This window comes from Homo sapiens, chromosome 18 (genome assembly GCF_000001405.40).
Source record: "Homo sapiens chromosome 18, GRCh38.p14 Primary Assembly".
Taxonomy (NCBI): Eukaryota; Metazoa; Chordata; class Mammalia; order Primates; family Hominidae; genus Homo; species Homo sapiens.
In genome coordinates, this window is record NC_000018.10 from 59124491 (window position 1) to 59139776 (window position 15286).

General features: G+C 43.2%; 3 annotated features.

Annotated features, from left to right (window-relative positions):
- Positions 14824 to 14873: a silencer, noted in NCBI's record as "silent region_9490". NCBI's record gives its function as "represses an Ori minimal core promoter by ATAC-STARR-seq in GM12878 lymphoblastoid cells {active_cell/tissue: GM12878}" and the evidence as "EXISTENCE:reporter gene assay evidence [ECO:0000049][PMID:35858748]".
- Positions 14984 to 15073: an enhancer, noted in NCBI's record as "active region_13408". NCBI's record gives its function as "activates an Ori minimal core promoter by ATAC-STARR-seq in GM12878 lymphoblastoid cells {active_cell/tissue: GM12878}" and the evidence as "EXISTENCE:reporter gene assay evidence [ECO:0000049][PMID:35858748]".
- Positions 15154 to 15253: an enhancer, noted in NCBI's record as "active region_13409". NCBI's record gives its function as "activates an Ori minimal core promoter by ATAC-STARR-seq in GM12878 lymphoblastoid cells {active_cell/tissue: GM12878}" and the evidence as "EXISTENCE:reporter gene assay evidence [ECO:0000049][PMID:35858748]".

Below are 15286 nucleotides of genomic sequence, written 5' to 3' on the forward strand. Positions count from 1 at the left end.
CCTGGTATGCTAAGAGTGCATACCTTTAATGATGGCCTACCTAGTTCACCTGTTACACCCCTACAGATGTCAAACACTGCACATTTACAGCTTTAACTGGATCCAAGGACAGTGTCTTATTCACCTCTGGATTCCTAGTGCCAGATGGAGCAAATAATTTAATAAATAAGAAAGAGAACCAACCGTGTCATGAAAGACTTCTTAAATTTCTATTTCTTATTATCTCACCTGAAGGAAACAAGGCTGTCTAGGAATTATAAAGAGATGGTTTGTGGTGTGTGTCAGCCTGTGTTTATGGAATTTCAAATGGAAAATTTACATATGTTTATTTTTCCATGGAAAAGGGAGAAATAAAGCAATGCTATGCTTTGGTTTAAACTATGTAATCAAGAAAATGCTATAATGACCAGGACCTAAGCAGAGAGAGGATTCTTGATTTCTAACGCTAGTTAAACTAGATCTCCCCAGATATTGGCAGAGCCAATGGCAATCAGACTCTGCTTTTCATGCGTCTTTGGAAGAACAGGCTGATTAGAGCTAAGACCCTGTATTTGATATCACAGCACAACTGGAGATGGGAAAATGAAGATCTAGGAACAGAGAACAGAGAGGGAGAGAGCTGATCCCCAGCAAAGGGTGAGGAACTATTTAGGTGCTTGATGAACCTGTGAGGCTTCACTTGACTTTATTGACTTCCTTTGTGAGAACAAGTCAAGAAGACAAAACCGGGGGCCCAGCAGCATCAAGAACTGATCCAAGAGGCATCTTCAAGATCACATCTGTCACAGCCACATCCGTGCTGAGGGACCGTATGGATGCTGAGAGTGTACCCTTCCCTGTGAACAGGGCTGTGAGGTTGGAAGGATGGGTGGTTGGGTGTCACTGCTTCTGCTTTTTTGCCCCATCACTTGGGCCTCTTTTCCTGTTTTTTTAAGGGCCTACTGTTAAGGAGGTGCCATATGAACAGTGTTGAGGATGATTTTTAGTCAGTGCTTGTCCCTTGCTCCATTTTCACTAGTGAATTTAGGAGCTGTTCAGTAACATTTCAAGAGAGGTTCGCGGATTGCCTTGTCTTTTAGAGAAGATGCTGCTGTAGGTAGAAGTTTGACCCTGATGGGTTCTAAATCCCTTTGAAGCCTTAGAAGTTATGATCCTAAAAAATAATTGGCCAACAGCTGGGTGATTTGGACTGCAAGTTCACCCATGGCCAAGACACATAGATCATTTTGTTGGAAATATAGGGCTGTTGGAAGAGTGGTTATATTAAGAGTTGCCTCAGTTATCCACTTTGCTTTGGGTCAACAAGACTTAAATATGGAACCATTATTTTGAATGTAATTCCTTAAAGCCTAGTCCAACAACGTAAGTTTCCCCCTGCCTTCCAGATTTAGTTATTTGTATGACATTGAAAAGTCATTTCTCTCTCTGAGCCTTAGCTCACCATCAGTTAGGTGAAAAAGTTTTACCCATGTGATTTCTATGGTACCTTCTAAGTTTCACATAGCTTGACTGTCTAAAATCTTTTTTTTTTTTTTTTTTTTTGAGATGGAGTCGTGCTCTGTGACCCAGGCTGGAGTGCAGTGGCGCGATCTTGGCTCTCTTGGGTTCAAGTGATTCTCCTGCCTCAGCCTCCCAAGTAGCTAGAATTACAGGTGCATGCCACCGTGCCTGGCTAATTTTTGTATTTTTAGTAGAAATGGAGTTTCACCATGTTGGCCAGGCTGGTCTCGAGCTCCTGACCTCAAGTGATCTGCCCACCTCAGCCTCCCAAAGTGCTGGGATTACAGACATGGGCTGCTGTGACTGGCTAAAATCTTATTGTGTGGGATTAGAATTTAGTTTAGCCTTTCTGGAGGGAAATTTAAAATTTAAATGTTAATGCTGTTTGGCTAAGTGATCCAATTTCTAGGAATTTTATCTTACAAAACTGCCAAGACACCCCCCACCCCACCCCACATCATAACATTGTTTCAAAAGCAACAAGTAGAAACAAATTAATAAGAAGGGAGAGGGGCTAGATCTGGAAGGACACACAGCATACTTCCAACACTGGGAAATAACTTGGATTGCATTGAGAGTGGAGTGGGGTGAAGGGAGATTTCATTTGTCTGTAATCTGGGTTTTCCATGGGAATATTTATGTGTTACTTGTGTGACTATATGAAAAAAACCCACCCAGCTTATTAAGTCAGATATTGTATTTGGTGGTTGGAGTAGCCTCTTCAATGATTAGTTATACCAGTCAGGGTGCAGTCAAGAGACAAAGATCACACCAGTAATTTGAACAAAGAAAATTTAACATGTTAATAACTAGCAACTAATAACAGTGGATTAACTACTTAGGGAGTAAAGAGAACTCTAAAGAATACAGGACTAGCAGATACAGGGAGTAGCCACGACTTATAGGGCTGAAGCAGTATACCCAAGAACAGAACAAACTTGAAAGAGGATCTGCCTCCTGATGTCTGAGATTAGATTTCGAAGCTGTGGCTGTGGTCCCCTGGATGGTAGAGAAGTTCTCTGAGGTGTGACGGGCTAGGATGGCAAGCAGGAAACTGCCCACAGAAGTGCCAGTGAGATGCACTGGAAGACCATCCACGGCACTGGTGAAACTCAAAGGGCAGCCAACCGCTGTGCAAACATTGTGACTTGCTGGAGGGTGAGCAGCACTGGGAATCACGCGTGCCACTGGTATCTAAATACCACAGGTATCTACATACCACAGGAACAGGGGAAAAGGCACACGAGAGCCTGTCCTCCTCTGGTGTCCCCCTAGTGCTCTCTATTGGCAAAGCTTAACATTGTGTCAGCTGGCAATGGAGAAAGTTCACAGGGTTCAGCTCTGTATCACAAAGCAGGGCAAGGAAGGGTAGATTTGGAGAGAGGTCATAATTGTTCAAAGGCACAGGTCGCTCATTTAGCTAATCAGCTTCCATATGCATCCTCCTATACATGTTTGAACTTCTGGACAACAATTAAACAACTCTATATTTCCAATGAACAAGCAGCAGCTAACCTTTGAATAAGTGAAAAAGTTCTCACTTTCTCCAAAATGAGGACATATGCAGTCCCAGTCATTGTATCCTTGCTGGCTATATTATTTATTTTTTAAATTCAGTCACAGTTCCACTGAATATTCTGTTACCTAAAGACTAAATTATAAAGTTAACATCCAAGAACTTGCATATAAATGGATAATAGGTAGGAGGAAGAAGAACAAAATGGTTATAACATGCAAATTAATATGTACATATAATAGGCAAATAAAAAAATATGCAGCTGTAATATAGCCCTCATTTCTATAATTGGCCACAAGGTCAAGGTGATGATTTTATTCTACCACTACCCATTCTATAGTTCCCTTATTTCAGCGTGCAACTTGGCTGATAATTATTGTTTATATGGTGAAGTAACCAAAAACTTTGTTTTTCAAAGGTCTGAGTCCTCAGTAGTTCTGTCTTTTAAAGAAATTTTTGGCTGCTGTAGCCATTTTTTATTGAACATGAAAGAACTAAAAGACATCCTAGAGTACCCACTGAGTTTCAGATAGAGCTCTCCTTGGCCCCATTTTGTAGTAGCAATCCGATTTTCTTTTAGTAATCAGAATCAATTATTCCAGCCATTTTTCTGCTTTCTGATTCAGTGTATAAGGAGCCCAAGGGGCTCGAGGGTAGTTTCATCTGCCAATTTGATGGAGCCATTGCTGTGTCCCTAGCAGGAGCATTTCCCCTTGGGGAATAAGATTGCCAACTAGCAGAGCTTAAGGTTGCCAAGATGGGAAGCAAATTTTTGAGAGTACATTACCGGGTATAATATTGAGAGGAACCAATCTCATTTCCACTTTTTTATTTCTGGACTCATGTGTTCTGGTTATGGAAACAGCACTACATAATTGTTATCAATTGAAAGCATATACTGCATTCTATAAGACAAAACTAAAATTTTTAGAATTATCTCCAAATTGATATCATTATCAAAGCTTCAGGGAGCCCTCCGACTTTTCAATCAGGCCAGCTGCTTATGAGTGATGAGGTATGTAATAAAAGCAGTTTATTACATAGGCATGAACCAATGCTGAATATGTTCTTTGCTGTGAAATTAGTTCCTTGATCAGAAGCAATAGTGATGCTGCATGTAATGCCATGACGATGGGTAAGGAATGCTGTGAGTCCACAGATGGTGGTGCTAGCAGAAGCATTTGATGCAGAGAAGGCATATCCATATTTGGATATGTATCTATTTCAGTGAGAACAAATCTCTTCCCTCTCCATGATAGAAAATATCCAATGTAATCAACACCTGTGACCAGCTGGCTGGTTAGCCCAACCAAAAAAATTTGCCATTTTGGGGCTCAATGTCAGTCTCTGCTATCTGCAGAGTAGGCAATCAGCAGTGGCATTATTCAGGTCAGCTTTGGAGAAGGAGAGGCCATATTTTGGCCCACACATAACCTCTATCTTGATACCATGTCCAATTTAGTTACAGGAATATTGAGCAAGTACTTGGATGGCTGAGGAAAGAGGCTGATTGATATCCATGGAGAATATAATTTTGTTCACCTGGTTATTAATAGCCTCCTTTGTATGATATGCATTTGATAAGCATTCACTTGGGACACAAATATCTTCATAATTTGCACCCATTTTGAGAGATTTGTCACATACCTTTTCCAAAGACATCCTTGTCACCAACTTTTCAATACAGTTCCTTCCACATCCCTGATGATCCAGTCAAATAAGTAGCAAACGTCCACAAATAACTGTAGACCCATGCTTTTAGCCCCCTCTCAACCCAATGTACTACTTGAAGTTTTGCCCACTGAGATGTTTTTCCTTCAGGTGTCCTTTGGAATCACCTCTATGTGGGGCTGTTAGGTGGCACAACTGTCCACTTTCAGGTGGTACCAGCATATCATGCAGACCCTATTGTAAACCAGGCTTGAGGTTTTTCTTTATCAGTTAACTGCAGATGGGAAAATTCCCAGAAGGGGACTGAAGGTATGGACTGGAAAGGACGCAATGCAGTAGTATTGAAGGAGTCTGAGCCACCTGCTTATTCAAATTATTCATTCCTTGTGGATCTGCCTAAGCTTGGTCTCTTATATACCATTTCCACTTGGTGGCAAATGCTGCTACATACATCCATCCTAATGACTAGGTGGGTCATAAAATACTCAGTACATGATAAAAAGCTTGGGGTGCATGGTCACCTGAGGTCCCACATTTGGATTTTCAGTCCCTCCAAGGACCAATGGCAATACAGAAGCTGTTTCTTAAACAGAAGAGTTATCTATAGAGGAGGGCATAGGTTTCCTCCAAAATCCTAAAAATCTGCTCTGCAATTTTCCTTTGGTAGCTGCTAGAGTTTTCATATAGCTTTCTTATTTGTCATCCACACTTTGAGTTATTATTGTATCTGTTGGATAATGAGATCCAAGTGGTACAGCAGCTTTCACAGGAGCTGGATTTGCTGCAGAGTCTTCTCTTTTTATGGTCCTTTCTTAAAACAGAGGCTTCACTTTTTATTTTCCCCTCTTAAAGCTGGCAGCCTTATGGGTCACTGGCAGCCTATGAGTCACAGATGGGTTAAAGTAACACACTCAAAGTGGTCTAGGTTGTCTCCAGATTCCAAAAAGACCTACCAACTGTTGTGCATCTTTACTTGCAGTAGTTGTTTAGAGATGTAACAACTCATCTTTCACCTCGGAAGTAACGCCTCAACATTATCCAGACCATTGAACCACCAGAAACGTCACTAAGATGGCAGATGTGAAATTTTTGTGTGTTTTTTTTCTCACGCCTTCTAGTTTGCATATTTCTTACTAAGGCATCTAGTGCACTTTCTAGTTCCAATTCATCAGCTCCAATCAGTATAATTTTATCAATGTAGTAGAAGAATGTGATGTTTTTCAGAGTGTCAAGATGATAAAGATTTCTGTAACTATATTGTAGCAGATGGCAGGAAAGTTGACATAGTCCCAAGATAAGACTGTGTGGGTGTACTACTGGCCCTGCTAGGTATAAGCAAATTGGTTCTGCTGGTTCTTACAAATTGATATGAGGGGGAAAAGCATTATTTAAGTCAACAGCTGCATACCAAGTGCCAGGGGCTGTGTTGCTCAAATACAGATCTGGAATAGCAACACAATTAGAATGACCATTTGATTAAGTTTATAATAATCCATAGCCATTCTCTAACATTTACCCATATTCTGTACAGGCCAAACAGGTGAGTTAAGTGGGAATGTGATGGATATCACAAACTCTGTATCATTTTGTCCATTAATAGTGGCTGTGATTTCTGCAATTCCCTGCCCCTCCACCCCCAGGGATGCAGTATTGCTTCTGGTTTACTATCTTGGTGAAGAGGGAACTTTCTATGGACTTCTACTTAGTCCCTCCTACCATAATGGCCCTTACCTATGGGTCAGAGAAAGAACTTGGGGATTCTGAGAGTGACAAGTATATCAATTCCAAATATACATCCAAGAGGTGAGGAAAAAACAATTGAGGGAAAGGGAGCATAGACCAGTTGGTCCCACTGTGAATCAGATTTGGGCTAAGGCTTAATCTGCCACCTGACTGCTATAAGCCTTCACTTTGACTTGTGAGCACAGTCACATCTGAGGTCTCTAGGAGTTAGTCAATACAGAGACAATGTCTGCTAATTCCCAAAATATCTGTGTAGTTCCTTTTCCCCAGTGTATAGTCACTGTTATAAATGACTACATGTTCCACTGGGAAAGCTTAGGAAAAAAGCTAAGGTATACACTACCTGACTGAGTATTAGTTATCTGAGCTGTGACAGACTGGGACTGGCAAAGCGGAAACTGCATACTTTGGTGCTGATGAGACTCCCTGGGAAGCCACCCCCTGAGGTATAAGTTACACTTGCTAGTAAGCCACTCTAAGTGGTACTGGGAAAACTTGCTGAAAAGCATGTACCCCTGGGTGTCCCACAGGCCACTGGAACTAGAAACAGAAGCCCCTTCCTCCTCTAGTGTCTTTCCAGCACCATCTACTGAGAAAGCTTAACAATATTTAAAGTTAGTCCAGCTGACAATGCACAAATGTTTCCAGTATCACAAAGCAGAATGAAGAAGGATGGATTTGGAGCTGAAAGGCAAGAAATTGATTAGACTATTTATTGTATCAGTTTTTTAAAAAATTGAGCACCTGTTACCTGCCAGGCATGGTATTTGCTGCCAGGCATGCAGAATTTAAGAGATCGAATTGATGGCAGCGGCTGCCATCACACTAGCTGTAGCAGAGAGGTGTGGCTGGGGCTGCACACCCCATGGAGCTGGTGGGAGCCCTACTTCTTCTGAATTGGGGAAGGAGCTCCCTGCCTGTTGCTGCAGCCACCCAAACTGTGGCTGGTGGTTTGGGTGGTTTGGTTCTGGTGGTTCTTATAAATTGATATGAGGGAGAAAAGCATTATTTAAGTCAACAGCTGTATACCAAGTGCCAGGGGCTGTGTTGCTCAAATACAGATCTGGAATAGCAACACACAGAGGTGCAGGACCTGGGCGTCTCTCCAGCCTGCACCCTGGGGGGCCTGGGAATCCCCCCCCCCAACCCCTGCAGGCTCAGAGGTGTCTACTCCTGCTGCCTGGCCTCTCTCCACTCCCTGTGCTGGCTCTGCTCTCAGAGTGGGCGGTTGGGGTGGAGCCCTGGGGCCATGAATGGCAGGGTTCAGGCCAGGGCCTGAAGGCTGGGGGCTGGACTGCCAGTCTTGCAGACCAGAGTAGGGACTCGTGGTGCCTCTTCCAGGCCTGGCCATAGCTCCTCATGGACCAATCAGCAAATACTTCCTCCCCTCTGAGGTTCATAAAAGCCCTGGGCTCAGCCAGAGCAGGAGAGAGGACAACCAGAGCAGGGCAGAGAATGGAGAGATGATGGGATGACCACCTCAGAGAGGAGCTATCCTCTTTGCTGAGATCTTCAGAGACATGCAGAGATGTCTGAAGAACCTGCCTGGGAGAGGAGCCATGCTCTCCAGGGTTGCTCCTCTCTGTTAAGAGTGGCAGACATCCAGGGTCTCCTCTCTGCTGAGAGCAGCAGATGTCAGGATAACCAGTGGGCAGAGACAAGCTACCCTCTTCAGGGCTTCTCTCTGCTGAGAGATGAACACATGACAGGACAACCTGCCTACAGAGAGGAGCTAGCTATCCCACTGTGGGTCTCCTCTGAGCTGTTCTAAAACTAAATAAAGCTCCTCCTTGTCTTCTTCACCCTTCACTTGTCTGTGAACCTCATTCTTCCTGGACGCAGGACAAGAACTTGGGCAAAGACACCACCAGTCACAGAGGTTTCCGGAAAGAAAACTGACACCCCAAAGATCTTGCAACACAATCTCTACCCTAAGGAATCACATAGATCCATGAGAAGATAGGAAATATACAGAACAACTATAAGAAAAGGAGTGTCTAATGTACAGCAGGGGAAATAGGAGAAGGGATATCTGAGTGTACCAGGGAAATGCCTTCCTGCAAAGAAGTAGGGTTGGGCCTTTTTTCTTCCAGGGTGTGGAGAAGTCTTCTAGACAGAGAACTGGGACAAAGGGAGGGCATTATAAAAAGGGACTCCAGCAGGAAAAAAGGCAGGGTGGCATGATCACGTACGGTGTTCAGAGCACCATGAGTAATTCAACAATGATGCAGTACAAATTTCTAGAAGGGAAAGATTAAAGATGAAGCTGGTATCATTCTATGTGTGTGTGTTTAGGACTCTCCCCTGTCATGCAAAGGAGTTGGATAAATTCCACAAAGTCACATGGCATGGGCTAAGACACAGGCTTTGTTGGGAAATGCGCAAACTCACAAAGCAGAGGTGCATGTAGTTCTCCAGTCTTCTCTTTTTCCCCATGGAGAAGTCTGCTAGGGTATGTGATAAACATGGCATAGGTTCTACTCCAGCGGATGGAGTCTTAGCCTATCTGGGTTTTTATGGATGAAGTGAGAGAAAACGTTTTTGTCAGCAGGAGAATACACAGGCTGCTTAGCACCAGGCTGGATTTGAGAAAGCCAGCTGCCCTGCACCCTGGGAAATCTGGAGCAGTGGGATGTTAAAAGTTTTTCGTCTAGAAAGAGGAAGGCTGTGGTCATGTAGGAAGCTAGACTTGGGTGTTACCCTCCTGTGGAACCAGAGGATCCCCTGGGTCTCAGCTAGCTGCCTGTTTGGGCAACTCATGGTGGACCCTCAGTCTCATTTCCATACAGTGTTGCCCTTTGCATATTAGACAAGCATGTAAAGGCCAAATAATAAGGGTTTTATTGCCATGTTAAGTAGTTTTGCTTTTAACTGGTTAGGCAATAGAGACCACTAAAAAATTTTCAGTGGCAATTTGCTCAACATGATTGGACTTGCAGATTAAAAAGAACAGTCCAGTAGCAGTGTGGAGGTTAGACTGGAGGGGTGTGAGACCAGAGGCAGAGAAATGAATAAGGCTAAAGAAAAAGAAGAGGAAGCTTGAGCCAGGGCATTGACAGAACACGGAAAGGAAAAGATATGAGGATATTTGGAAGTAGAATCGATAGGCTTTCTGGCTAACAATTGGATGTGGGATAAAAGTTACAGGAGATTGCAGGAGAAATCAAGGCTAACTCCCAGGTTTCTAGCTTAGAAATCTTGGTAGACAGAGGTGCCATTAATCAAGAAGAGGGATATAGGAATGAAGGAGAATAGCTGACGATTCAGAAAGGAAGACAATGATGAATTCCATCCTGGAAATGTTGAGTTTGATGTCTTTGGGGCACCCGTGAGGTGGTGTCCATATGCAGTTGGATTTACGGATTCAGGTCTCGGAAGGAAGACCTTGCCTGGAATATAGATTTGAGAATCTCCAGAATATAAGTGTAGGCTGAAGGTTATGATGGGGGAAGAAACAGTACATGAGTGTAAGCATAAGGCCCCCCCAAAAACTGCCAGAATACTGACACTGAGTTATTATGGCAGCCCCAACCCAACGTCAAGAAGAGCAACTCAGTGCATCTTAGGAAAAGGCTTAGAATCCTCTAGAGTTTGTGGGAAAAAGGACTTCATTTGGGAAGGGACCACCAGTGACAGAACAATGAAGAGAATGCTCTAGTTCTCTAAATTACTTATCATGGATTAAGAAAAAAATAGTAATGACAATTCTTCCTACTGCTTTTGAGAGTCTATTTTGAGTCAGGTAGGTGCTTTTCACATATTACCTCACTTGACTCTCACAACATCCCTGTTAGGTAGTTTCATTAGCTTCATTTTATTGATGAAGATATTGACATTCAGAGAGATTACCTCACTTGCCTAAAGTGACAAGTTACTAAATGGTAGAGCTGGGATTTGCATCGAGAACCCCATCAATAGTGCACCTTTCACTCTAAGCATGGGGTAAAAATTCATCCCTGAAATGCTTTGGGTCAGTTTCGTGGTGGAGAAAGCACCAGCCCAAGGACCTGGTGTCAAGTCTTGGCAGTGCCCAGGTCGGCTCTTTGTCATTGGGTGTACCCCTTACCCTCTCTGAGAGGGGCAGTTCTCAGAAAATGATTGCAAGGAGCATAGGGCAGGGGTTGACACCTAAAGTCACAATAAGGTCAGGTAAGGAGAGGGAATATGGCCAAACCAGGAGCTGAGAAAGAGGCCTGCAGGGCAGTACACTTCTCCCAGAGCCATCTACCCACGTCAGGAAATTTAGATTGAAGTTACTATTAGGGCAGCCTCAGGGAGGAAAAGACTGCACCAAAGAGCAGCCTTCTATGTGCCAGGGGATGGGTGGGTATTAATATCTCCCTCCTTGTCCCCCAGCCGTGTAGAGCTGGATGGAGTGGACAACTTGATAAAAGATTACCCACCTAGCACTGCCCCATGAGCCTTGCTTCATCATGGTGCTGGATGCAGGGCAGGGAGAGCGTACTTTCCTCGCTGTGGCCCTTGGGCTGGTGCTGGCTTCCATCTTAGTGGTGGTAGCCTGTCTCTGTTTCATGTGGTCCTCAGTGGCCTCCCTGTCCTTCACATCCTATTTTCTGATGACTGTCACTGGGTTCACTGCAAATGGGTTCATGGTTTTCCAAAGGTAAAACAAACATGAGAACAGCTCAGTAGTTAGAGGACCTGATGAGTGTTAAAATATAAGTTTACAACACGTCTCTCCGGTCAGGAAAGCACCAGGTGTATGTGAGTTACACTAAGAACAAGCTACACCTGCCATTAGAATGTCTGTAATACATGCAGAGAGATGGTAAAGACTTCAGCTATGAACCCGAATGGTGGTGATCACTGTGCTTGCTGATCATTGGTAGTAATTAATGATGATGATGATCATGTCTAACATTTAATGAGCACTATGTGTCACACACTATTCTATGTGCCTTACATATAAAAATGACTCTTCATAACCTACTCCTGTGAGGTAGGTGTAACCACTATCACTATAAAAAGAGGCACAGAAAGGTAAGATAACTTACTCAGGGCTGCACAGCTAGTAAGTTTTAGAACCTGGATTGGTACCCAAGACTGTCTTTTGCTAGAGCTTAGGCTCTAAACCTCTCTGCTAAGCTATTATTCCAGTATACAAACTGCATGTTATGGGTTGAATTGTGTCCTCCAAGAAGACATTTTCAAGTCCTAACACCTGGTACCTGTGACTGTGACCTTATTTGGATACAGGGTCTTTTATTGCAGATGTAATCAAGTTACAATGAGGTCACATTAGAGTAGGGTGGGTTCTAACAAATATGACCATTAACCTTAGAAGAGAAGAGGAAAGACACAGACACAGAGTGAAGACATGGGAAGATGGAGGCAGAGACTGGAGTTATGCTGTAGAAGCCGACGAATGCCTGGGGCTACCAGAATCTGGAAGAGGCAAGCAAAGATCCTTCCTTAGAGAATTTGGGGGAAGCAGGTCTCAGCAAAACCTCCAGAATGTCAGAAAACAAATTTCCGTTGTTTTAAGCCACCTGACTTTGGCATTTTGTTATGGCAGCCCAAAGAAACAAATCCAGCGCGTATCATTCACAAAAGTGGGGAAGACATCTTCACAGGGCCCATGCTCCAGTGGTTCTGTGCAGGCCAATGTGGTTTATACCTCCATTTACAGGGGCTGATTCTCTCCATGACATATGCTTGCATCTAACATTTATAAAATTTACAGTCTACAAAACATTTTTACTTATCCTACCTGTGATTGTCATAACCATCAGGGCAGATACTACCAACAGTTGAAAAACTTTTTAAAACTAGACTTTATTTTTATTATTTATTTATTTATATTTCAATAATTTTTGGGATACGGATGGTTTTTGGTTACATGAATGAGTTCTTTAGTGGTGAATTCTGAGATCTTAGTGTACTCATCACCTGAGCACTATATGCTGTATCCAAAATGTTTAGGCATTATTTTTTTGGAGTAGTTTTAGGTTTACAGCAAAAATGAGTGGAAAGTATAGAGATATACCCATCTACTCCTGCCCCCACACATGCACAGCCTCCTCCACTATCAACTTCCCCTGCCAGAGTAGTACATTTGTTACAATTGGTGAATCTACACTGACACATCCTTATCACCCAAAGTCCACGGGTTACATCAGGGTTCACTTTGGGGTTGTACAGTCTATGTTTTGACAAATATATAATGATATGTACTCATCATTATAGTATCATACTCTCCCCCCTACCCCCGGCAACCACTGATCATTTTACTGTCTCCATAGTCTTGCCTCTAGAGTTCACGGGAAGGAGTACTTCACTGGGGAAGAGGCCACCAGTGACAGAACAAATGAAGTGAACATTCTAGTTCTCTTAATTACTTATGTCCTGGATTAAGAAAAAAATATTAATAGTAGCCATAATTCCTCCTACTGGTTCTGAGAGTCTATTTTGAGTCAGATGGGAGGTTTTTTTTGCATATTATTAATACCTCACTTGACTCTCACAACATCTCTTGCCTTTTTCAGTATGCCATGTAGTTGGGATCATACAGTATGTTGCCATTTCAGATAGACTTCTTTCACTTAGTAATATGCAGTTAAGCTTCCCTCCTGTCTTTTCATGGCTTGATATTACATTTCTTTTTTGCACTGAATAGCATTTTATTGTCTGGATATCCTGCAGTTTATTTATCCATTCACCCACTAAAGGACATCTTGGTTGCTTCCAAGTGTTGACAATTATGAATAAAGATGCTAAAAACATCCGTGTACGGGTTTTTGTGTGGACATCCGTTTTCAAGCTGGTATTTGGGTAAATACCAAGGAGTGCAATTGCTGCATCATATGGTGAGAGGATGCTTAGTTTTGGAAGAAATTGCCAAACTGTCTTCCAAAGTGGCTGTAACAAATACGGTTTTTATTTGGTGGATGAGCAAAGGGTTCATGGAGGTGAATAAATTAGTCTAAGACTGGACAATATGCAGGGACTTCTACCCAATGTCTTCCTGTGTTGCTTCTCACCCAATGCTCAACCTAAGCAGGAGCCTGGAGGCTGGGCCAAAGGTTCTGATGTGAAGATATCACACTGGGTTCTAGGTTTATTGGTCACATTTTGGACCCTTACTCTATTCCCACAAACCTGTTCCACCCACAGCTTTCCTCATTGAAGTTGAGGGGAACTCTACCCTTCTAGTTCCATAGGTTAAAAACCCTGGAGTCAGCCTCAATCTCTTTTCTTCTTTCACGCCCTATATTTATTCTTTCAAAAAATCCTGAAGACTCTTTCTTCAAAATGTATCCAGATTCTGAACCTTTAGTGCTGCCACCTTAGTTCCAGCAATTATTAGTGGCAGGGTTAACTATCACCATATCTTCCTATGTACTAAGCACTGTGTCTTGCACTTATAATTTTATACATCTGATATTTGGAAGAATTTTACACAGACTAGCTTCTGGATCTGTACATTTCAAACCTTGTTTTTCCTCTCCATCCACTTATTTCCAAGGTCAAGTGCTGCAGAACACTTTCATATCAGATGCCACTTCCAGTGGGACTTCCTGCCACGGTGCCAGGTGAGTTGGCCCAGTGGATGGCAGTATTCCCAGAAGCCATTTTTTACACGAGGATGGCAGGAAAGACCATGAACCACATAAATAAATTCACTAAACTCAAACCAAATGTATCTCCAACTCGTTTCCTCCTTAGCTGGATCCCCAAAATTCTCCTTGTCCCTCCAACAGGAGGGGAAATGTAATGGAGGTGAAGTTGGAATGCAAAGAAACAGAACTCTTAACCAATAGCAATTGCAATATCTTGCTTTTGAAAGTTTTACACATTCTATGGTTAAGTTTCTCCCACACCTTGGAAAAACACCTTTGCAATTGAAGGGTCCCAGAACTTACCTTTCATTAGCTTCATGGTAAGTCAGCTTCTGGTATATTTTAAATTGCAACCTGATCCTTTCCCCCAGACCTCCCCATTCAACTTATCTGCTTTTCCTGTTGTCATAGCACCTCCATCCTTTAGGTACCGTATAAATTATCCATTATGTCTGCCTTCGGTAGAATATAAGCTTCATGAGGGCAAGAATCTTTGCTTGTTTTGTTAACTGATGTTTCTCAAGTGCCTAGAACAAGGCCAGGTGCATGGTAGGTGCTCCATAAAGATTTGTGGATAAATAAATACAATAAAGAATGCATAATGCATACACGAGTGAGTGAATGAACCAAAGGTAATCTAGGATCAGAACTGTGATGATCTAGGACTTCTAAATTTAAAACTTTGAGTTATATTCCACTCATTTCCACTTAACCTTGGCCATGTCAATGAACCTTTCTGGGCCTTTGCTTTCTCGTGTATGAAATTAGGTGGTTATGTATTCATTTAATTAATATCTATTGCAACCCAATTATGGTCAAGGCATTCAAAGATACTTCCTTGCATACAAGTGGTACCACTCAAAATGCAGAATTCAGCGGCCTCAAAAGTCCCGCCTCTTCCAAGCCCCGCCCACCGCAGTCCATCTTTAGGCCCCGCCCCAATTCGGCTCAGCCCGCCCCAGCGTAGAGGCACCACCTTTCCTCGCTGCAGTCATCCAATAGCCAAGATACACGGCTAGGTGATTTGCGAGCGGGAGTTAGGTGTCCTCTTGGCGCCTGACCAGAGTCGGGAAATTCAGCTCCTCTTGAGTAGTCCCTTCCCCGAGTTGCCCCCCGAGGTATGCGGGGTCACTCGCTGCTCGATGTTCCCTCCGAAGGGTCGGACAAGGCTCCGGAGCCCTGTAGCTGCCCTCCCTAGGAGCCCCGGGTCTTCACTGGCCGAGGTGCCCACCCCGCAGCATTCTGGGAGTGGTAGTTTTCTTCCTTCAGGTTCATT